Source organism: Homo sapiens, chromosome 4 (genome assembly GCF_000001405.40).
Source record: "Homo sapiens chromosome 4, GRCh38.p14 Primary Assembly".
In the NCBI taxonomy this organism is placed as follows: Eukaryota; Metazoa; Chordata; class Mammalia; order Primates; family Hominidae; genus Homo; species Homo sapiens.
In genome coordinates this window covers 57165788-57191347 of record NC_000004.12, presented here as the reverse complement: position 1 = coordinate 57191347, position 25560 = coordinate 57165788, and the positions used below count along the sequence as shown (strand labels likewise).

Below are 25560 nucleotides of genomic sequence, written 5' to 3'. Positions count from 1 at the left end.
GGATCTTTAAGGTCCAGCTGCTCTTCTTACGTGGAGACTTCCCTTCCGTTGACACAAATGAAGGATCTAAGTTTGATTACTAAGGAAGAGAGAGGTTTCTTGTTCATGATGAGAGCATGAAGCTTTAAAAAAGAGAGAGATTTAAGTTTCAGAAACTTGGTTCCTCAATGCAGCAGGTGGACCTGAAGTTGTCAATGTCATAGCTAAAGACTGGGAAAACACAACTCAAGAAAGGATGGCTGTGGGCAAAGCCAAGCAGCCTGGTTTAGCACCCCCTAGCGGAAGAAGGGGACAATGTTTATGGTCCCTGCTTCTGGTTAGCTAAGGAACTTAACCGCTGGAATTCCGTGCAAGGTCATTTCTCTAAGCAGGAATCAACTCAAGCTCTGATCCTCCCTAATAGCATAACTATTTGCCACGCATCTAGCCAAGAGTTAGTTAATGCTGCTTCCACAGGGAAAGAGGCCGTGGTCAGACCAGCCTTTAATGAGCATCCCAGGGCCTGGCTAGACTTGGAGGGAGGGAGCATATTGAGATATTAGTCGAAGCTCCAAAACAATAGGTGCCTGCGCCCTCTAAGTAGCTCATGTGTTACAGATCTGACAAGTCTCATTGATTTAAATAGCTGGAGCACTGCTTGGATTTTAATCTCCTTCACCCTTATACCAAGGAGGTCGCTGTTTAAATGCTTTTACTTAATAATGTAAACACCTGTCACACGCCAGGGGCAAAGCTATTAGGGAGAAGGATTATTTAAAGCAACGCTCCTGAATACAACATTGCTATTATTGTCTTATCCTCAATTGCCAGGGTCTGAGCAATTTTTAAGATCAGAGACAGCAGCCAAGTCACCTAGTGCTCTGTCCCCTAACACCCAGACAGAATAGGCATCTGCTCACATGCTGTCATCTGAATGCCATCAAATATCTGATCTTCCAAGAGTGTTGTACTCAGCGCATGTGTTTACCAAAGTCCCTTGTTAAAATGGAAAGCTGTTTCCATAGGGTGCTGTCTATTAGGCCTATTATCCTGGTAGCTACAAGGCACAGGAACTAAACCCTTTACAATTATTATCGCTTTTATATCTACAACAACCCTATGATTTAGTGCTGTTGTTAACCCCGTAATATGAAGAACAGAATGGGTAAGCAACTTTCTCAGGGACACACAGTATTTAGCAGAAAAAAGATTCAAACATAGGATTGGCTTCAGAGTATATGCTTTTAGGCACTATGCCATATTGTGTCTCACTACACACACACACCCCAAGGAGATACATATGGATATATAAATATTTTTTTGAGACAGGGTCTCACTTTGTCACCCAGGCCATGAACATGGCTCACTACAGCCTCGACCTCCTGGACTCAAGCAATCCTCCTGCCTCAGACTCCCAAGTAGCTGGGACTACATGTGAGCGCCGCCATGCCTGGCTAATTTTTGAACTTTTTTGTAGAGACAGGGATTCACTATGTTGCCCAGGCTGGTCTCAAGCTCCTGAGCTCAAGCAATCCACTCGCCTCGGCCTCACAAAGTGCTGGGATTACAGGCGTGAACCACCGCATGTGGCCTTATATATAGGGGTGTGTGTGTGTGTGTGTGTGTGTGTGTGTGTGTGTGTGGCAGTCATTAGGACCCATTAGTTTACCACATAAGCCTGTCACATGGCAAGGTAAAAGCCTAGAGGAATGGCATAGAAGAGAGTAGAAGGGGGGAAACAAACAGAACCTAGAGGGTTAGTGGGTAGGAGAGCCTGAGGCTATGCCCTAAAGCCTGGACTGTGGTCTTTGGAACAGAATATGGGCATCAGGAGGCCTGGAGTTAGGACCTGCCAAGACCAGGGATGTGAGAGCACTGCCTATAACCTAGCTTGGAGGAAGGATTCTCCCTGCTTCCTCTCTCTCCCTTCCTTTACCCAAGCTGCTTCATCCATGAGGCATGCTTAAAGCCAAAGCACAAGCCCTTCCCTCACCCCACTTGCCATATATGTCTTCTGAATGCTCATCATAGCTACCAGTCTTGGCAAAACTCATATCTTCTTGAGACCTGTCAATAGCACCTAAAGCCCTGATGTCATCTAACCAACTGTTGGTTAATGACATTGACCCTAAGCAGGAAGGCGTGCTAATGGAAAGTGTAGGCCGCAGTAGGCACTTGTCTTTATTCAAGTTACTGGTCAAATATTGTTGTGGTTTATTAAATTAAGACAACTACTCTTCCACAAACATATCTTAGTGATGAAAGCCAATCTCTATAACTTGGTTCTGGCACCTCAGTTCAACAGTAATTTGGTAAGCAAACCCTTTGTTACAATACAAAACAAAAAAATAGAAAATGGTTCATTCATTCATTCATCAAATAATCATTAAACTTCTTTTATATAAGGCACTGTTCTTAGTACCGTAGATGAATCAGAAAATAGGAGCATCACTATCTCTGCTCGTGTGGAACTTTCAGCTCTATGGGAGACAGAAAGCAAATCAGCAAAGGGGGAAAATAATGTCAGGTGTTGAAAGAAAACACTCAGAGCAGTGTTTCTCCAAGAGTGATGCCCATCCTGGCAGCATCAGCATCAACTGAGAACTTGGTAAAACACAGAACTTCATGCTGCTTCCAAACCTGCTGAATCAAAAACTCTGGCCATGGGCCCCAGCAACCTTTGTTTTATCAGGCCTGCCAGGTGATTCTAATCTGTGCTAAGGCTGAGGAATCACTAGAATAGAAAGTGAGGGTGGAGAAGGGAGCATCTTTAGATAAGATAATCAGGAGAGGCTTTTCTGACATTCAAACTGAGACCTGACGGATGAAAAGAAACATGCCTTGCAAGAGCCAAGAGAAAAAATATTCCGGGCACAGGGAACAACAGGTGCAAAGTCCTTAAGGCAGGGAAGAACTTGTTATGGTCGAGGAACAGAAGGGAGAGAAGTATGACCAGAGCACAGTTATTGAAAGGGAAGCTGATGGGTGCAGGGGTCAGATCATGCAAGGACTTAGAAACCTCAGTAAGGAGGATGAATTATAAACTCACATAAATGCCCTAATGAAGGAAACATGGTCCTGTGAGAGCTTGTAGCACATGAACCCAACCTAGTTTGTGGGTCAGGAAGAGCTTTCCAGAGGTAATGATGTTTGAAGATAATTTTTTTTCTTAACTCTTATAAGTTCTTAGAACAGTCCCCTGTAACAAACAAAAAAAAAAAGGTTAACGAGAGAAAAACAAACAGATGTTTGTTTGATGTACGTATATTTCATACATACATGGGAGAAACCCAGAGAATAAGAAACTTTCGAAGAGGTGGCTTTGAATACCAATTTATATAGTATCTTCAACAAGGAACAGTACGTTTTTAGATTTGTGACACAAAGGAAAAGAACTTTGAGTCCTTAGGGGCAGCAACTTTTGGAAAGGCAAATAATTGGCAGATAAAGGCTAGTTGGTGAAGCTTGTTAATGTAGGTTCCTCTGGTGCTCTCTCCAGGCATGTAAGGATCCAAAGTTGTCTTAAGTGGTTAATCTCTGTTTGCCTGGGGAGCAAGAGGAGGTGGGATGTCTTTTGTCTTCATAAATGTATGTCCTGATTTGAGGCAAATAGGGAAAGAGCAGGGTGCTTTCCTGCATGTGTTTCTCCTTATTTGCGGTCAGCTCAACAATCCTCATGCCAAAGAGGCATATTTTGGAGTGGCATATCCTGATCTCCCACAGTCAAGGGTAAGTTCAAGACAACTAAAAAAGTGGAGGAACCATCAGGTGCAAAGGCCCGAGATAGGAGAGAGCACAACACTGTCAAATGTTTCCATTGTGAAAGGCTTTGAAATAGGCAAAGATGATTCATGGATGTTCTAACACACCCTTCCTGGTTATTCTGTAGTGTTCATTGTCTTTGGCCTATTTTACAACTACTGCAAGTTGTAGAAAACTGAGAGTAATGCAAATGATTCTTGTCCATAGAAACGCAAATTAATTTTGCCCAGTGGAATGCAGTTGATTATTGTCCTAGGAATTTGGGTAGTTTTGCAACTATTAACAAATTCAGTTCAGCCTTTCCTGATTGTGTGTGTGCGTGCGTGTGTGTGTGTGTGTGTGTGTGTTCTGAATTCTTCTAACCAGTTGTGACATCTTACTGATTCGCTCATTAATCAGTGAACTAAAAAAATCTTTGACACATGTTCATTTTATAATCATACAAGAGTTATAATTTTACCCTTCAGAAAAATTATTCTTTAACAACATATACAAGGAATTACAAAGGGGCAGTATGGTACCAGATTGCCAGACAAAAATATAGGACACTCAGTTTGAATTCAGATAAATAATTTTTTTCTATAAATATGTTCCAAAAATCATACATACTAAAAGAGTCTTCAGTGTTCATCAGAAATTCAAACTTCCCTGGGCACCCTGTATTTCTTCTTGCTAAATCTGACAATGCTGCAGCATGGTCACCGTGGCACTGTGCTCCTTCTGTGGCCCCTATTGGCTTCTGGGTTTGGGAACAGAAAGAACCACCTTTTATTGGTCTTTGACTCCTTCTCAGAGGCAACATCAATGTATCTCCTCCTCAAATTTCAAACCAAATTTCATTTTGTGTTTTAAAAATAAATTAGCTTCAATTGTCTCCTTTATAAAGGGGCAGATGCAGCCAGGCTTTTCACAAGGGTACTCTTTCTACCCTGTGTTACTCCATCACACAGAGCTTGAAAAGTTTCCGCCAATCCCACCGACGTGGAAACTGGTAACTTAGTGCTGTAAATCAGGGGTCCCCAGCCCCTGGTCCACAAACTGGTATGAGTTAGGAACAGGGCCCCACAGCAGGAAGTGAGCAGCATTACCACCTGAGCTCCGCCTCCTGTCGGATCAGCAGCTGCATTAGATTCTCATAGGGGTGCAAGCCCTATTGTGAATTGCTCATGCAAGGGATTTCGGTTGTGTTCTCCTTATGAGAATCTAATATGCTAATAGCTGATGATCTTGTCTGAGGTGGAACAGTTTCATCCCAAAACCATCTCCCGCCCCTTCTGTGGAAAAAAAAACGTCTTCCATGAAACCAGTCCCTGGTGCCAAAAAGTTTAGGGATGGCTGCTGTGAAGCAACAGTTTTACTATACTGTAGTACAGTACTCTATTGCTTCTACCGAACCAATCAGCTGAACTAGATGAACAAGAACAACCAAACTGACCATTTTTTAACTCAACAGACCAGTAGACTTGTTGCATTTCAGTACTCTTGGAAAAACTGCTGTCTTATTTCCTATCTGCCTATGAAAGACTTTCTTTCTGGCCCACAAGAGTGTGTGAGGTGCCATTTACTCTGAGGTCAGGGACAAAGAAAAAAAAGAGAGAAAAGAAAGGCAAGTTCTATGGATGATGCACAGTGAGATGTGAGAATGTCTCTGACCTCACATACATTCCCCCTTCTCATCCCCTCATCCCTCACTCTATCCAAAATTGCCTGTTTTTCCCCTAAAGTTTTGCAACTTTAGGATGAAGCTTTTCTATATTCAAGCCACCTATTAAAATGCAAATATCTTCCCACGAGAATACCCTAACATCAGCTAACATTTTAGTAGGAATTGACTGACAGGACATAATATACAAACCATGCATGTGGGGAGAAACAGAATAGGTGTGTGGTAAGGGATGTTGAGGGCAGGCAGGAAGGAAACCCCCAGAGAGAAGGAGGATATGTAAGAGGCCTGAAGACATGCTTTAGGCCTTACACCAATCTTGTAAAACAAAGTCTATAAAAATCTACGGAAAGATCATTTTAAATTCAGGGCCAAATGCTTTTGATATTTCCTCTGCCTTTCCCTATAATGTGATATAAGATACCCCCAAAAGGAGATTTTCATGGTAACATATTGTTGACTGGGTAGGCTTCCCTGCAGACTGGCAGTAGAGACATACCTGCAAAATGGAGACTCCCCTCCCCAAAGGCAGTCTGATTGCCAGCAGAAGTTTGATCACACCCTCCCCAGCCCAGTTGGCTCTCAGAGGAATTATCATCACTTTCTGAATACACAAGATGATGAATGTGCCCAGCTCTTCCTGGGATGTAGGAGTGGGAGCCTGGCAGACAATTCTCTCCAGATTGAATAAATGCTGGGGGGCCCGGGGGAAGATCATTGTCCCCAGGAAGCATCCATCCCTCTTTAAGCAATGGCTGTGCACACCAACCTTGGATCCCAACTTCTGTAATATTTCTCTGTTATAAATTGGCAGGCACAGCATGTGGTCAAGGAGCCATTACAAGCCCTCTCAAACAATATTTTTTTTCCCAGAGACTTAATTTCTTAAAATGTGAGAGTGATTCTTCTGCGGAAAGTAGAACAGTGTCTTTTTGAGCCTGCCAGACAAAAACAAAACTAAACAAAACAAAAGGCAAAGTCTCTGAGAGGATAACAAGGCGAGCAGGCTTCCTTGTGTGCACCTGGAGGCCCTTCCTTCGGCGCTGTGGCTGCCTTAATGAGAACAGATGGCACCGTCGGGAGACGGGCTCGATATTATACGCCTCCCGTGTCCTCCTTCTGAAACCAGCTTTGAGCAGATCTTTTTTCACTGTGAATTGGCGCCGGTTGTTTAAGCGGTGGCCTAGCCATGTGCCAGAAAGCAGGATGTTCATACAGAAAGCAGGATGCTAATACATTCACAGCTGCCTCTTGCAGAACTCAAAGCCTTTTATAACGGAGCAGGTGAAGTCTTTGGAAGGCCCGCTTCAAGGATGGAGGAAGAGGCTGCCATGAGCAGCCCACAGAGAGTGACTCACCTAACCACTGTCAGAGAAGAAACCCCATCCCCCAGTCCCCACTCTGTGATTCTAGCTGCCTAATGCCGCCTCGTGGCTACAGCCCGAGACCCTCCCCGTGCAGGGTCCAGAAGGTGGGAAGGCAAAGATTCCACCTGGAGCTTAGGAAGGTCTGAAGGGGCTGAACCTGAATGTGGTAGCTCTGGCTGACCAGCCCCCATCCCCCAAGAGGTAGAAGTCACCACCTCTGTGCAGAAGCTGTTTCTCATCGCCTCATGCTTGGCCTCCTGATCTGGGGCAGACTCAGGTAAGCTCCCACAGCGGTATCCACAGAATGAAGGCAGAGAGATCTCAACAGTAGGAAACTCTGGCATTTTAAACTCTGCATTTCAACATAAGTTGTTTTGTTGTCATCATAATTACCAAATTTAAATTACCTCTATTTTCGGGTCTCAGGAAGCCATAAAGAGAGAAAGCAAAGATTTTCACGGTGAGAAACGAGAAATGATGAGGAGAAGAGGCAACCTGTGGAGCCGAGACTTAAAGAGGGAATATGTTTCTGGAGTCAGCTGCAGCCGAGGTGTCTAAAAATGAAAGAAGAAGGGGCACTCGGTGAGTGGACAACACAAATGGAAAAGGAGTGGAGTTTGGAAAACAATCTTCCAGTTCCACCGGAGGGAAGGCCCAGATGAAGTTATCCAGAGGAATTTTTGCGTGGTGGTCAGGTGCAGGATTCTAAAATGAGCATAGAAACTGGAATCATGTTGTGGGTTTGTGTGTGTGTGTGTGTGTGTGTGTGTGTGTGTTTGTTTGTTTGTTTTTTGAGATGGAGTCTTGCTCTTGTCGCCCAGGCTGGAATGCAGTGGCACGATCTCGGCTCACTGCAACCTCCACTTCCCAGGTTCAAGAGATTCTCTTGCCTCAGCCTCTCGACTGCAGGCGCCCGCCACCATGCCCAGCCCATGTTGTTTTGTGTGCCTGACAGCAGTGTTCACAAAGGATGGGATAACCACTCAGAACTCAAGATTTCTCCTGCATCTTTACAAAATAATAAAAGCCAAAACCAGGAGGCGTAGGAGAAAAGACAACAATAATTAACCAGTGTGCCCTTTCAAATCATTAATTGACTAACTTGACTATAATATATAACAGAACACCATAATCCATTACATATCATGTAGTAAAGGAATATTCAAAGATTTGTGAAATGCTTCTAATGCAGTTTGAGTGACAAAGCAAGTCACAAAGCAGAATATGAAGTATGATTCCTAATTTTGCTTTTAAAATGCACCTACATACAAACATGATAAAGAAATAAATACACGTACATTCCACAATGGTTGCATTGGGATGAGACAGTTATAGGTGATCTTTAACTTTCCTTTACATTTTTCTAAATTATATATCCTGCACCTTTTCTAAGCACAGAAAAAGAAATTAACATGTAATTTTACATTTCTAATATTTGTACAGGAAAGCCTCTCCAGTGAGCATTTCTGTGTGAAGGGACCCCAATAATCCCATGCATACCCATCCCCCAGCCTCATCCAGGGTGGAGCTCAGGCCCCACCTGCAGTATTATATCTTCATTCCCATTGTTCTTGAAAAATTAAGTCTCCTCAAGGGTTCTTAAAGCTTCTGTGGAGTTTTCAAAGGTTGAAATTATGCCTTAGTCCATAGTTCCATACCCCAACATCAATAACCGTGTCTGACACAAAATAACTGTTCAATAAATGTTCAAGGATTGGATAAACAACCAACCCCAAATTCCCCAAGTGAGATTATCACATTTATTGCTTAGCCCCTCCTGTGTTAATAAGATCAAGAGAAATGTCATAGCAGCAATACACAGTGCCGCTTTATTTCACTTCCTGTTTTTTGGGAGGTGCACTCGATCCCTGCATCGTGTGAATCATCACATCCACACCTACCCCATATCACTGAGCAAAGACATGATCGCCAAGTTAAAAAGTGCCATGTCATGGAACCCCTAGTGAACCTGGACTGATTCAAGGGTGAAACCATGTTGATTCTCTTGACCACTTGTACAATCTCATCCTCAGCCTTACGCTGGGCATGTGGGTCTGATCAAGGTTCTTGGCCCTGGGCATGTCTCCCCCGGGCACCATGCTTTACATAAAGTAGCAATTCAGAATCTCCATCAGGATCACCAGGAAGCCAAGCCATCCAGTCTAATGAACGCTGACAAAGGGCCAGGCCCTGGGAAGACAAAGAGGAATGCTTACTGCCACATAGCTCTGCCAACCACTGGACATGTGACGGAAGGACACTGGCAGGATGCCCAACAGCTGCTACTGGGTGAGCTGATATGAGTGAACCAAGAAAAGCATGGTCAAGCAGAGCCCACCAACTGATGTTACCACTGAAAATCCCCACACCCTCAGGCCCACTAATGCTATTCCAAGAAATTTATTCTACAGAAACACTTCCACATGTGCACAAAGGGATATGTAAACGTATACTGATCACAACAGTGTTTGTTTTAGCAAAAAAAAAAAAAAAAAAGAATCACAAACAACTTATATGTCAAGTAATAGACTAAATATATTATGAAATAGTATTCAGGTGTGAAAAGAATAGCTAAACCTCATCTAGCACTCATATAGCATATGTTGCAGGCTCTGTTGTAAATGTGTTACATGCGTTAACTCAGTCCTCCTAGCATCCTATGAGGTAGGTTACCGATATTAACCCCACTTTACAGGCGAAGAAACTGAGGCATGGAGCCATTAAGTCAGTTTCCCAGGATCACGCAGCTAATAAGTGATGGATCCAGGATTCAGGACGGAGGTTGAATGGATCTAAACTCCACACCATTAACCACACATCATAAAATACCAAACGGAGCAGGACCTGAAGTCAGGTGTGTGTCTAGTGCAACACATGTCCACCAGCAATAATGAGATCAGTTTTAATATACTGGTATAGAAAGATAAACCCAAGGTATTGTGAAGTGGAAAAAGTGAACTGCAAAACAGCACACACATTCCCATTTTTACTTTTTAAAAATCTTGACAAAAATAAATGCTTAGACAAGAAACATCCAAAGGTGCTCCCCAGACTGCTGAAAGTGGTCTCCTCTGGAAAGGGACTGGAAAAGGAGTTAGAGAGGTTAGGGAAGCATCCTAATTGATCTCTGACTTTTCTACATTATTTGAATTTTATGAACATACATTCCTTCAGCAATTTTGAAAAGAGAAGAAAATTAACAAAGAAAAAAGCATAGCCCAGAGAAGGTAGATCAAGCAGAATGTGTGGGTAAGGCCAATTTAGGGGATCCAACCTCTGATATACGGGTTTCCTTCACACACAAAAAGCAGACTCACAAAGTACACAACCTAAGTACCTGGGCCCCAGGTAGACGTGTTACGGGTCATCCGTGTGACTGGTGACATATCCCATTTCAGTTCCAGCTTGCCCAGCAGTTACTTGGCGTAAAGAACAGTATGATTTTGTAGAAGGGCTTGGGGTTAGCAGTCAGAAGGTCTAGGTTAGAATTCCAGCCCTACCTCTCACAAGCTATATAACTTTGGGCCACTCAGCTCTTTGGGCCTCAGTTTTGTCTTCTGTAAGATATACATAGTAACATCTACCTCACAGTGTTGTTCTGAGATTAAATGAGAAGACATGCCAGTGTCAAGCTCAGTAGCTGTCACTTCACAGGCATGCAATTGATGTGAGCTAAAAATGACTCCAATTCAATGTTCTTGGGGTCTCCTGACCCCAATCCAGTGTTCTTTCCATTAACCCACATTGTCCTCCTCTCTGCTCATTGTCTGTGCTTGGACTGGAAGAGGCAAAGATGGGTTAGCCACTACAGAATGGGAGAAAATTTTTACAACCTACCCATCTGACAAAAGGCTAATACCCAGAATCTACAAAGAACTTACACAAATTTACAAGAAAAAATCAAACAACCCCATCAAAAAGTGGGCAAAGGATATGAACAGACACTTCTCAAAAGAAGACATTTATGCAGCCAACAGACACATGAAAAAATGCTCACTATCACAGGCCATCAGAGAAATGCAAATCAAAAGCACAATGAAATACCATCTCACACCAGTTAGAATGGCAATCTTTAAAAAGTCAGGAAACAACAGGTGCTGGAGAAGACATGGAGAAATAGGAATGCTTTTACACTGTTGGCGGGACTGTAAACTAGTTCAACCATTGTGGAAGTCAGTGTGGCGATTCCTCAAGGATCTAGAACTAGAAATACCATTTGACCCAGCCATCCCATTACTGGGTATATATCCAAAGGATTATAAATCATGCTGCTATAAAGACACATGTAAACGTATGTTTATTGCGGCACTATTCACAATAGCAAAGACTTGGAACCAACCCAAATGTCCAACAATGATAGACTGGATTAAGAAAATGTGGCACATATACACCATGGAATACTATGCAGCCATAAAAAGGGATGCGTTCATGTCCTTTGTAGGGACATGGATGAAGCTGGAAACCATCATTCTGGGCAAACTATCGCAAGGACAGAAAGCGAAACACTGCATATTCTCACTCATAGGTGGGAATTGAACAATGAGAACACGTGGACACAGGGTGGGGAACATCACACACTGGGGCCTGTCATGGGGTGGGGGGAAGGGGGAGGGATAGCATTAGGAGATATACCTAATGTAAATGACGAGTTAACGGGTGCAGCACACCAACATGGCACATGTATACATATGTAACGAACCTGCACGTTGTGCACATGTACCTTAGAACTTAAAGTATAATAATAATAATAAATAATTTAAAAAAAAAGATGGGTTAGCCAGATCACATCCATGTGGGGCCATGTTCAAAATGCCCTTGAATTTGTGCTCCTCCGACCTCTAACCCGTGATTACCGGGAAGCTTTTTCTTGAAAGAAGCTGCAAGCACTGGGAAATTCTGTTCCCAGGCTGAGGAATACATTTCAGAAAACTCAGTGGTTAATACTGTGCCCAACCAGGGCACCTCCTGACCAAGTTTTTGCAGTTGTCCCACTATGCCATGTGGCTTCGTTGTATGATATTGATGGAGTCCCTTAATCTTCCACCTCAATTTTCTCATCTGCAAAAATGAGGATGGTAAATAATCTGTGCCTGCTTTCTAACAAGGTTGTTGAGAGGATCAAATGATAGAGATAAACATCTATGACAGTTGACTAATTGTTCACCACTATCCATTCTTCTCTTCTTCCCCTTGGCAATAACACCCCAAACTCTAGCTAAACATACCCCGCTCAACTAGAGACTGCAGTTCCCAGCCTTTATTGCAGCTACATGTGGCCAAGCAACCAATTACCTGCCAGTGTGATGCAAAGAGAAGTGATAATCTTCCATTTTCAGGCCATGCCTTCATAAAGGTACTGTTGGTTCAACTTTCCCCTTTCCATTTTCCTTCAAATTGGAGGTTGGACATGGTGGTAGTGAGTCATCTTCAACCCTAGATGGTAGTTGAACAAGATAGAAGGTATCTGGGTCCTGTACAAACTCATAAAGCAGAGCTGCCTACCACCTACCACCTTTGGACCACCTACCAGCTCAGACTTCTATGAGAGAAGAAATAATCCTCTTATTTTATTAAATCCACTGTTACTTTATTGTAATATCTAACCAATATGTTAACTATTGCAACATTCTATGACTATGTAAACTGCCATGCTAAGACTTTATACTGTGCTTATTGTTAATTACATCTGCCAGCTTGATTTAACAAGCTGTGTTGTCACATAGAAGTCACCATCTTATTCACAGGACCACAATTTCTGTTTCTGTAGGTCCCATAGGATACACAACTATTCATTCAGAGGTCTTACATTCATATGAGGCAAACTGTGAGGGTTTTTCCTAGCATCCCTCTGGCACAGTCCTTTCTGTTTCTATACTGAGAGTCCCTGGTAGCTTGCTTTCTTAAAGACTAAAACTTCTTCCGAACATTTGGAAGCTTGGCAAGGACCAGGTCACAGCCCCTGTGATAACTAGCCTCACATGTGATATTTTCCCCAACCCGACCTGGAGCAAACACTTTACCTTCTAAATAGTTTTCAGCCAAGCAAACTAAATATTTGAATTGAAACGTTTGCTGGAGTTGTTGTTTTTTAATGCAAACACACACACACATATGCACACACAGATGTACCTGCCATACCTGCTTTGGGGAAGGAGTGCAGAGAAAAATAAGTAAGGGGCAATGTTATCAAGGAAGTTTACCTCTTCTGTCTCATTTGTCAACATATCATCTTGCACTCTCTGAGCAGCCAATCTTGAAATATGTGCAGTTTCAGATCTACATGCTGTCCCACGCCTTGGGACTTGTACAGTTTGCCATCCTCTTGCCTTTACCTATTAACTCGTACATTCTCTGGGTCTCAGTTTGAACATCCACCTTCCAACAAGGCTTTTCTAACCCTCCAAGACTGGCAAGAAGAAAAGGACTCCATTTCCCTTGTCATCACTCTTACTGCTCTGTGTTGTTATTTGTCTGTGTCTCCACCTGGATTATAAGCACCTAAAAAGTAGGAACTGGGCCTTATCTCTCTCTGTGTCTCTGATATCTAGTGTGGTGTCTGGCACAAAGTAGACACTCAATAATTTTTGCTGGATGAATGAAGGCAGCATGTCCCCATAAAAGCCCTAGTAGTTCTTGCTCCACAGAGAGCAAGCACGCCCTGGTAAATAAGCTGGCCCACTGGTAGGCCCACCCTATGTCTTCTAGGATGCCCAAACACAGTGTGATTCATGTACCAGTGGAGGTCTGGCTCCAGACCTTGAAGCTTTGGGAACAAAAACTTGCCCTGCTAAATGCGACGCTCAGAATCAGAAAAAAATCTGCCCAACTGGATTGCGTGATCCTGGCTCCCCGTCTGTCTGTGAGCATATTGAGAAAGGAAGGTATCCCTTTAAAGCAAAGTGCATCCCACTTACTCTTCCGGGGTGGTAGTGGCCCTGTTAGAGATTTACTCTGACATGTTTAAGCACCATGGAATGGTTCTTACTGATTGCATTGCAACTGGATGCCAGATGATCAGACTTTTCCAACAAGAATGGCCCCAGTGGGTAGTGGGTTTGCCAATGTGCTACTTTAATGACTATTCATATCAGCTCTATGCTCAAAGGTCCCAGGTTATGTCTCTATCTACTCCAGTGTTTATTTAGTGCTCAGTGTTAGGATGAGTAATAAGCCCCTTAGCTTTGTGACAGATTGTTCTTTAAACATGAGACCCATCAGCACTCTGCTCTTGAGCTCCTGCTAAGCAGAGAAGATTCCCAGGGAGTAACTCCTCAGCCCCACGGGAGTTTCTGAAATGTGAAATTGGAGGTCGGTGGCGGCATAAACAAATCTAAAAACAGCTCTTGTGAAAAATCTGCTCTACGGTGTAGGACCCATTTCTGTTAGAGCTGATTGAGACCTTCCATGGGTCCTGGATCCCTCCCACTGAGGTTAGTGGGAGGTGGAAAGAAATGTGAATTTAGCGCTTGTCTCTGACTCAAAAACACCAAATTTGGAAACAAGTAATACTTCGATTGGGTTTTGTTTGGTTTTTAAATCCTAAGGTATCTGCTTTCTCAGGGCAATATTAAAAAAATTTTTAATTAAAATAAATAACTAAATAAATCCTAGGATATGTTTTTCTACCCCTCCAAAAGACAAAAATAGATATACTCTCTTACCCTTTTATTAGTGGTGGAGAAAGTGAGGCATAGAGAAGTCGATAGCCTGAACTCTGCGGTAGGGGCTACCTGGTAAGTCAGGAAGAGCAGTGAGGATTCTGGAGCCCAGAACAGGTCCTGACCACTTGCTCATGTGCCTGACAAACGGCCTGGCATCTAATAAATAGGCGTACCATAAATGTTTATTGATGAATGAATGAATTTGTTAATGACAGAATGAAATTGACTAAACCAATGTCTCTCATATTTGAGTAATATAAGAACCTCTTCTGGAGAAATAATAGTCTTTCGGTACCAGAAATTGTCTGTAAAACCCCTGAATAATATGGTCATAAAAAAAAAAGTAAATTCACCACTAGGCAACATGGAAGAACCCCATCTCTACAAAAATTACAAAAACTAGCTGGGCATGGTGGTGTGCGCCTGTATTCCCAGCCACTGGGGAGGCTGAGGTGGGAGGATCGCTTGAGCCTGGAAGATTAAGGCTGAAGTGAGCAGAGATCACACCGCTGCACTCCAGTCTGGGTGACAGAGCAAAACCCTGTCTCAAAAAAATTAAAATTAAAGTTACATAAATAAATAAATAAATAAGAAAATGCCTCTCCATAGCAAATTATCATTATAAAAAAATAATTTCTGTATTTATAACTGATAAAATGTTTTATTATTATTGACAGATAAACACAATTTTTTAAAGTTCTCACAGAATTCATAGACCTCAAGTAACACCAGCAAACCCGTTTGAGAAAGACCAGCCCAGATTGTAAGCCCTGGACTGAAGGCAGGGCATAGTACTGGACTTCATCCTCAGCACCTTGACCTGGTCGCCCTTCTCTGACTATTTGAGGTTGATGATGGTGATATGACTATGGCCAGCCTCCTGTCCTACACAGGAAAGGAAAACCTGTAATGCCAACCAGGGACTGGTAAGCACCATAGGAGTGCTCAGGCACTCAGGGTGACAGCAGACAGCACTGCAGCCACCCAAAGCTCGAGTCCAGCTGGGTGATCAGAAAAGATTCCATAGTGGACGTGGAAGGTGAGCTGGGTCCTGGAACATAAAAAAGACTTTGTGGCACAAAGAACAAAGAGGAGGGCTTTACCATTAAGAAAGGGAAATATTTTCCTTTCCTGTTGATTTGCTGCCTCCTCTCAAATTGGATTTACCAACAAAGACAGGCCCTAAGGACATGCATCAGAAGTCCCTTCAAGCCTCAGAGGACTGGATGGGTTTTGAGTAATGCCCAGCTAGGCAGGACACACTAGAAAGATAATTGAAAATCTAAAGAAACTCTGATTCATCCATGAAAAAAAAGCACGCCAGGGAGCCAAAAGAAAATTACTCTTTTCTACCACCTTCTGTCTCCTTTCTCTCCACTTCTGAGTATGAAAACTACTTTAGGCCACCCAGATCCTGCTCTCAAAATCTGAAGTTTGTCACTAATGATCTGAAACTCTCCTTTCCATGTTTTCTCAGGTCTTAACCCAAACCCCCACACTCCTGCATAGCAGGTCCTTGAGGTCCACTACTGTGTCTTCTTCATGATTTTTTCAATGTTATACTGCCAATCACATCTATGCATTCAATAAATATTTGCTTTAAAAGACATTCTTTGGTCAGGCGCAGTGGCTCATGCCTGTAATCCCAACAATGTGGGAGGCCAAGGTGAGCAGAACACTTGAGCCCAGGAGTTCAAGGTCAGCCTCGGCAACTTAATGTGACTCAGTCTCTACAAAAAATTTTGAAATTAGCCTAGCATGGTGACATGCACCTATAGTCCCAGCCACTCAGGAGGATGAGGCAGGGAGGATCACTTGAGCCCAGGAGGTCAAGGCTGCAATGAACCATGATTGCACCACTGCACTCCAGCTTGGGTGACAGAGCAAGACCCTGTCTCAAATATGTATATGTATATATATAGTTTTATAGTTATAGTTACAGTTATAGTCTAGCAAAAAAAAAAAAATCCAGAGTTCTATTGCCCAATCTCTTCTCAGTTGTCAAAACTTATTTCTAAGAAGCTGACAAACTCAGCCACATTAAGATTTAACTAATACCACTTGGTACGTTGCCCTACCCAGTGGCATTTTAAATCCCATGTAAGTAGGATTTTAGGTATATTCAGAAACAGAATTGGGACACAGGTCAAGGCTAAAGAGGAGGTGTTCTTTGTTTCTAAGCAAATAGGTATAACTTACTAAGCTGATGTTGAGGATGGTTCTTATCAAAAAGATGAAGTGAGATTCTGGCATACTCAGAGAAGGGCCATAATGTTGGTCCTGTCATCATAGATAGGAGTGACAAAGAACAGCCTTTAAAAAAAAAAAAAGTAAAGGAAAAACCACAATCTATAGCCTAGGAACACTTATTAAGATGAGATTTAACCAAAGACTATAAAATCTTAAATGGTAGATAATAAGGTCAAGCCAAGTTACTATTTTCAGCTTAGAACAGATGACGAGACACGAGGACATAAATGGAAATTAAAAGAAAAGGGATTCAGAGCAGATCAGAAGGTTACCAAAAATAATCGATGGCTGAAATGACTTTCTGGACTCATTCACTTGTGCTGAAAATATTGGGTCATTGAAAAAGTAATGAGATGATATTCTTGGGAAATGGAATAGTTAAAATGAATGAGTCCAGATGGATCCCAAGACTTTAATCATTCTAAAGAGAAATGCTGGCTGGGACTCTCTCTCTCCCAAACCAAGTTAAAATTTCATTCTAGGGAGAAAGCTAGGTATAGGATAAGAGACCTTCGTGTTTTACATTCCATGGGTGTTTGCAGCTCCTTGGAAGTTATAATCGTATTTTTTTTTTTTTTTTTATTGATCATTCTTGGGTGTTTCTCGCAGAGGGGGATTTGGCAGGGTCACAGGACAATAGTGGAGGGAAGGTCAGCAGATAAACAAGTAAACAAAGGTCTCTGGTTTTCCTAGGCAGAGGACCCTGCGGCCTTCCGCAGTGTTTGTGTCCCTGGGTACTTGAGATTAGGGAGTGGCGATGACTCTTAACGAGCATGCTGCCTTCAAGCATCTGTTTAACAAAGCACATCTTGCACCACCCTTAATCCATTCAACCCTGAGTGGACACAGCACATGTTTCAGAGAGCACAGGGGTGGGGGTAAGGTCACAGATCAACAGGATCCCAAGGCAGAAGAATTTTTCTTAGTACAGAACAAAATGAAAAGTCTCCCATGTCTACCTCTTTCTACACAGACACGGCAACCATCCGATTTCTCAATCTTTTCCCCACCTTTCCCCCCTTTCTATTCCACAAAGCTGCCATTGTCATCATGGCCTGTTCTCAATGAGCTGTTGAGTACACCTCCCAGACGGGGTGGTGGCCGGGCAGAGGGGCTCCTCACTTCCCAGTAGGGGCGGCCGGGCAGAGGCGCCCCTCACCTCCCGGATGGGGCGGCTGGCCAGGCGGGGGTCTGACCCCCCCCACCTCCCTCCCGGACGGGGTGGCTGGCCGGGTGGGGGGCTGACCTCCCCACCTCCCTCCCGGACGGGGCTGCTGGCCAGGCGGGGGGCTGACGCCCACCTCCCTCCCGGACGGGGTGGCTGCCGGGCAGAGACGCTCCTCACTTCCCAGACGGGGTGGCTGCCGGGCGGAGGGGCTCCTCACTTCTTAGACGGTGTGGCTGCCGGGCGGAGGGGCTTCTCACTTCTCAAACGGGGTGGTTGCCAGGCAGAGGGTCTCCTCACTTCTCAGACGGGGCGGCAGGGCAGAGGCGCTCCCCACATCTCAGACGATGGGCGGCCGGGCAGAGACGCTCCTCACTTCCTAGATGGGATGGCGGCCGGGCAGAGACGCTCCTCACTTTCCAGACTGGGCGGCCGGGCAGAGACGCTCCTCACTTTCCAGACTGGGCAGCCAGGCAGAGACGCTCCTCACATCCCAGACGATGGGCGGCCAGGCAGAGACGCTCCTCACTTCCCAGACGGGGTGGCGGCCGGGCAGAGGCTGCAATCTCGGCACTTTGGGGGGCCAAGGCAGGCAGCTGGGAGGTGGAGGTTGTAGCGAGCCGAGATCACGCCACTGCACTCCAGCCTGGGCACCATTGAGCACTGAGTGAACGCAACTCCGTCTGCCATCCCGGCACCTCGGGAGGCCAAGGCTGGCGGATCACTCGCGGTTAGGAGCTGGAGACCAGCCCGGCCAACACAGCGAAACCCCGTCTCCACCAAAAAAATACGAAAACCAGTCAGGCGTGGCGGCGCGCGCCTGCAATCGCAGGCACTCGGCAGGCTGAGGCAGGAGAATCAGGCAGGGAGGTTGCAGTGAGCCGAGATGGCAGCAGTACAGGACAGCTTCGGCTCAGCATCAGAGGGAGACCGTGGCAAGAGAGGGAGAGGGAGACCGTGGGGAGACGGACAGGGAGAGGGAGAGGGAGAGGGAGAGGGAGAGGGAGAGCTATAATGGTATTTAATATCAAGGGGTTTTTATGACTGGTGCCTCCTACAGGAACTTAACAAGAAAAACGAGCAAGATGGCCACTACAGACAAAGGAGCCTTGGAGTTCATTCTCATCCAGGCTCCCATCCAAAGCCAAAACCTTCCCAGTGCTCCCACTAGTCTCACATCTTCTGATAATTCCAGGAACAGGACAATTCAGAGGCAGCCTAATCTACTGCTGGACAGCTCTAATTGTTAGATGGCTAGAATTGTTTCTGGCAGGATCTGGCCTCCCAGTTTCCCCACTGAGTCTAATTACGTCCTTCAGAGCTATAACCCATGTGTCTATTTCCACTTCTACAGGGTGACCCAACAAACAGTTAAAAGCAATTCAATCTCAACTTTCTCTTTGCCAAGATAAACATTCCCATTTCCCTCATACGACATGTTTTTCAGATTCTCTGCTTTTCCGACCACCATCCTTGGAAATATCTAAATGTTTAATCATGCATGTGTGCGCACACACACACACACAAACACACACACACAAAGTGGAGGGTCCCAAATTGAATATGTTTCCCCAGATGAAGCTAAGAAGTGTGTCAACTACCTTATTTGATCTAGAAACAGCTACTCTGTTGATACAGCCAAATAATATTAGCAATAACCATTATTTATTACAACCGACTGCATGCTAGACACTGGACTAGCCACTTTGTATACATTATTTCTAATCCTAACCATGGCCCATTTTAATATTCCCATGATATAGATGAAAATATTGAAATTTACAGAGAAAATAACTTGCTCAAGGTCACAGAGCTGGAAAATAGCTAAGCAGGGATTCAAATTCAGCTGTCTTGACACTAAAGCTGTCACTCTTCCAGTAGATCATACCGTCTAATAGTTTCTTAATGACTACCTCCCTGTTTTTTTCATTTGTACTCATGGTCAACCAAAATCCCCAGACTTCTTTCGTCTTCACAGGTGTTAAGGCTTTGTACCCAGCAGGGGAGTAAAGTACTTTGCAAGGTAGTGGCATTCATCCCAAGGTATGCCAGGAGAGAGAGGCTGGTCCCAGGCCAGGTGAGGTACAGGTCTGTGACCCCAGGATAGGCCATCCATGCTCCAAACCCTAATCTGAGCAGCCATACAGCCAATGCAGCCCATCATCAAGGGGTCTCAGGAAGACCTCATAGGGAGAGTGGAGCAGGAACACAGCCTCAGAAGTACAAAATATTGACTATGAGAATGTCAAGCTAATCCAAGTTTCTACATAGATGTATTAGTCCATTCTCATGGGTAATTTATCCAGAAAACAGGTTTAATTAACTCACAGTTCTGCATGGCTGGGGAGGCCTTGGGAAACTTACAATCATGGTGGAAGGGGAAGCAGGCACATCTTCCCCGGGAGCGGGTGAAAGAGCATCGTGCATAGGAGGAACTGTCAAACACTTACAAAACCATCAGATCTCGGGAGAACTCACTCACTATCACGAGAACAGCATAGGGAAAACCACCCCCATGATCCAATCACCTCCCACCAGGTCCCACCCTTGACACATGTGGATTATGGGGATTACAACTGGAGATGAGATTTGGATGGGGACAAACAGCCTAACAATAGTAATGGAGTTCCAGCCCCCCGGCTCCACAAGTGTATAAAACCACGAGGAGAATAAAGCTAGTCTTTGCTTACCTGGCTCAGACCCCATGATGTAGAAAAGGATGAAAAACAGGAAAACTGTAAGTATGCAAAGGATATAGACAGGCTGGGCATGGTGGCTCAGGCCTGTAATCCCAGCACTTTGGGAGGCAGAAGCGGGCAGATCACTGAGATCAGAAGTTCAAGACCAGCCTGGCCAACATGATGAAACCCCGTCTCTACTAAAAATACAAAAATTAACTGGGTGTGGTGGTGCAAGCCTGTCATCCCAGCTACTTGGGAGTCTGAGACATCAGAATCACTTGAACCTGGGAGGCGGAGGTTGCAGTGAGCTGAGTTCACACCACTGCACTCCAGCCTGAGCGACACAGCGAGACTCCATCTCAAAAAAAAAAAAAAAGATACAGACAGAAGGGCAAGGCCTATGCTTGTAAGACCTGACCTGTGGTGCAGAAAAGGATTAACACTGGAGGCTTGGAGTGCCCAAACTCTGCACATTCCAAAAAAAGGAACTGGCCCTTGACCAGCTCCTCGGGGATAACCTGTCAGACTTTGGAATATCCTGTCTGAAAAAAAGCGTGTCTTTGTATACCTGGATCCCTAAGCCACAACAGATAGTTTATGCTAACAAGGTGATGTGTGGCAAATCCTTGGTTTGATTCACCCGACCATGCTCCATCAGTTTGACCTCTGGGGAAGCTGCAGCCTCAGCAGCTAAGGTCAGCCACATAAGTGTTCTTTTCCTATGTCACTTACCCCTCATAGAAACCCTGAACACCAAGACTCAAATTGGCAATACTTTATGCATGTTGCCACACATCAGTGCTGGGGGGATTAAGTGGTATCCATGTGACCCCACTGGGTGACAACATCTGGAAGCTTCTGTCTAATTTCTCCTTGACTCTACTCTGTATATCTTTTTTCTTTGTTGATTTTAATCTGTATCTTTTGCTCTATAAACCATAACTGGGAGTATAACAGCTTTTCTGCGTTCTCTGACTCCTTCTAGTGAATCATCAAACCTGAGGGTGGACTTGGGGACCCTACACACACTTCCCAATGGCAGCCTTTGGGAAGGGGTGGCTGTGAATGGCAGCCTTGTTGGAGGACTTAGAACTCAGAGAGAGTTAGAGCCCAGAATGGAGGTTAACTGCAAACCTCCTTCTCTGTGGCTATACAGAACTCCTGTATTACAGACCCAGTGGCCTCTCACTGGTACCAAGGGAGAGCCAAATCTGCCTGCCAGGGATGGGGTTGTCATTTGAAACAAATAGGACGGATCTAAGTAAACTTATTGGCAGGATCTATAGTTCTAATTGTGAAAGTAATACATATTTGTTGTCAGAAATCTGAACAACAAAACAAAATAAAAAATAAAACAGTCCATTGGAATCCCACCACTCAAAGGTAGGCATGGCTAATATTGTGGTGTAGTTCTTAATAGTCAATTTCTTTTTCATGAATATGTAGCAGTATCCCCAATGAGACAGAATTTTAAACTTTTAGCAAGAAAATCTGCAAGTTAAAAGTTGCCAGCCACTTCCATGTCTAACAAGTCATCCTGGGACACATTTTTTTGTTCTGGAAACAATCACCCAGGCAGTTTCTTTTAGCTTTGCAAATTTAAGGCAGAGGCGCTCATCGACCAAAGGCAGGAATGTTAGTCACAGGCAATGTTTTTTCTCAGCTCCCCATTTGTTCCCCAGGATACCAAGGCCAAATGTCACTGGGAAGTACTAAATAGTTGAGCCCATTTGAGAGGGGGGCTAGAAGCCTCCTAGGAGAAAACAAATCAAGACTCCCAACTACTTCTCCTTAGGTTCACTCGTTTCCAAACATCTCTGATAAGCTCAGTGGGTCCTCTGCAGGAGCCTGGATTACTAAATTGTTGGTGTTAGTGGGGAGGTGTTGTAGGTATAGCACATTGCCAAGGCTGGAACCTTCTACCGCAGCAGCCACTGCAGCCCCATGGGCATGGTTTGAGAATCGTATATATGAGGACAAACTAAGAGGCTGAAACATTGAGAACCCAGAGCCGTGCTGGCATAAGACAGTGAGAAGAGGTCTCTTCCCAGCTCCGTAGGAACTATCCCCTGACCAGCTGTGACAGCACAGACAGTGATAGCTCAAGGCTGTGTGGACAGCTGCTTTTAGCAGGCACTGGTGTTAGGGAACAGCAAATGCAGCCCACGGTGGACCCATCATATTTTCCAGTGCTGTCTCTACAAGGGATTTGGGAGTATCACTGATCCTTTAGCCTGAATAAACTGGGACTGTGGAACCTTAAATGTATCACAGAAAGGAAAACACTGGGAAAGAGAAACGAGCATGTTAATGCTGATAAATCTATGCATGCTACCATCCTGCAGACTGGTGAAAGCTGTTGGCTACCCAGCCTTGGGCCATTCCTGTCTGCGCTGTCACAGCTGGTCAGGGGATGGTTCTCATGGTGCTGGGAAGAGGAGATCAATGACTCAGTTCAGTGGAGACATGTGACCATTTCATTTTTTTTTTTTTTTTTTTTGAGACGGCGTCTCACTCTGTCACCAGGCTGGAGTGCAGTGGCGCAATCTCGGCTCACTGCAAGCTCCGCCTGCCAGGTTCAAGTGATTTTTCTGCCTCAGCCTCCCGAGTAGCTGGGACTACAGGTGCATGCCACCATTCCCAGCTAATTTTTTGTATCTTTAGTAGAGACAGCGTTTCACCATGTTGGCAAGAATGGCCTCCATCTCTTGACCTCATGATCCACCTGCCTCGCTCTCCCAAAGTGCTGGGGTTACAGGCGTGAGCTGCCGCGCCTGGCCACATGTGATCATTTCTTACACCCCAAGTTGAAGCAAAAGACATAAGCAACACAAAAATACAAATACACACAATTTGCAACAAAATGGTATTAAACTGCATAATGCTATATGTTTTTCCCCACTTAATATTATCTATCAAGCATTTTCTAATGACATTAAACATATTTGTAAACATAATACTACTAGGTAATGACAATAGCTAAAACTGATGTAGCGGTTATTTAGTATCTACTATGTGAGGCAGTATTATTAACCCCATATGCTAGATAAGAAAACTGAGGCACAAAAAGTTTACGTAACTTGTCCAATGACCTACGGCTAGTAAAAGAAGCTAGCATTTGAACCCAAGTAACCTTCAGTGCTAATGTTCTCATTTTTTTTTAACACATCGCATATTTAATCATTTTCCTACAGTTGCATATTTCTTCTTTCCCATGTTTTCACTGCTATAAATATGCAGTGATAAGCATCCTTATACACAAAGCTTTGCAAGTCAATTAAAACTTTTAACATAAATGTAGAACTTTACATTTGTTTAATTCCATCACTTTTAATTTAGACCTGCAAGATTGTCTTAAATCTTGATTCTGCAATTCAAATGTTCCACTTGTCCTCTCAGCTTTGCATCATTCAGATTTAACTGACCTATTCTTCTAAACAAATACTTTATCTAAAGCTTGACCTGGACAGGAAAAGATCCAATGGCTTGGCTCCTGTCTCTCTCACTAGCTCATCTCAGTCTTCTTTTGATGCCCTATCACACAGTCTTCCAGTTCCTCAACCATACCATGTTCTTTCAGGCCACGGGGCCTTTGCACATTCTGCTCCTTCTCCTGCAACCCCCTGCTCTCACCTGGTAAATTCCCAGTAGTGCTCTGCATCTTAGCCAAAGCTGAGGCCAGGGGGAGTTCTTTGTTATACACTTTCACCGAACTATATTCTTTTCCTTCCAAATGGGAAATTTATGCACTAGGTCATGAAATCATCTGATTAATAGCTGTCTCTCTCCCTCAACAACAGACTCTATGATAGCAGGGGCCATGCCTACTTCCTGCCCATGTTATCCTTAGCACCAAAGCTGTACAGTTGGCCCTCTGTATCTACCGGTTTTGCATGCATGGATTCAACCAGCTGCTGATAAAGACCCAGTGACACCGAAGGCCAGCTGTACGTACATATTTTCCATTCTTGGTTGGTGAATCTACCAAATGGCCAACTGTTCTATGCCATTTTATGTAAGGGACTTGAGCATTTGTGGATTTGGTACCCTCGGTATGGTGGAACCAATCCCTGAGGCTGAAGAGGACAGACTAAACTGGGCCCTTGGAGACATTTAATGAATGTTTGCTGGATGAATTAATGAATGAATGCAGCACCCTGTGGCTCAGTAGTAGAACCATGACCCTCCGTGCTAATGGTGAGCATGCACGGATTCATCAGCCCTCCTTGAGGACAATGCTTCAATCAGTTAAAATGTACAGCCTGCCTGTTCTTCTCTAAGCCCCAGGATATTGCTAGAAAGTTTATCAGCTGCAGCTGAGTTCAGGCGATGTGACTGACCTCCTCTGCTCTCTCCTCTTTCCAGGCATCCTCTATTCAGTCTGCGGTTGTCCTTCCAAAGGCAGCTAATATAAGACTCCCTGATTAAAAGCTTCTGTGGCTTCACAGTGTCCTCAGGATCAAGTCCAAGCTCCTAATCTTGACATTCAAGGTCCTTCACATTCTGGCCCTTGCCTCCTTTTTCCCTGTCATCTGCTGCCACTGACACCCCCAACCCCAACCCCAACCCCATATGCATACAACAAAGATACTCCACAGTACTAAAAGTCTTCCTATACACCATGCACTTGTATTCTTTTGACACTTTGCTCTCTTTCCCTAGAATGCAAATCTCTCTTCTCTGTCTGACAAACTCCTACTCATCCTTCAAGGTCCAGCTCAAAAGTCACCTCCCCTTTTGAAGTTCTCCCTGGCTCCTTCCCACCCTCATCAAAGGCGGAGTTAATTTTCCCTTCTCCTGTATGTATTCATGTGGCATTTTGAACTTAATTCTATGTTAGTGCCCGTGCTATGTTCAAGTGCCTGTGTTCCCTGAGGATCTCCTTGAAGGTAGGCATCTTATCTTACTCAGTTTTATTTCTCACCTCAGCCCTTTCCTTAAATGCTTATAAAATAAGCATTCCATAAATACTTGACAGGGTTTGTCTTTTGGTATTATCCCACTCCACAAGTCTAGTGACACTTGCAAATGC

General features: G+C 44.2%; 1 long non-coding RNA gene across 1 annotated transcript in view; it reads right to left on the bottom strand.

Moving 5' to 3' along the window:
• The window catches only part of IGFBP7-AS1 (IGFBP7 antisense RNA 1), a 95538-nt gene that overhangs the window by 13952 nt on the left and 56026 nt on the right, over positions 1-25560 (bottom strand). The window contains exon 2 of the long non-coding RNA NR_034081.1: positions 3029-3178. This is a non-coding gene — a long non-coding RNA (IGFBP7 antisense RNA 1). The remainder of the gene's footprint in view (positions 1-3028; positions 3179-25560) is intronic.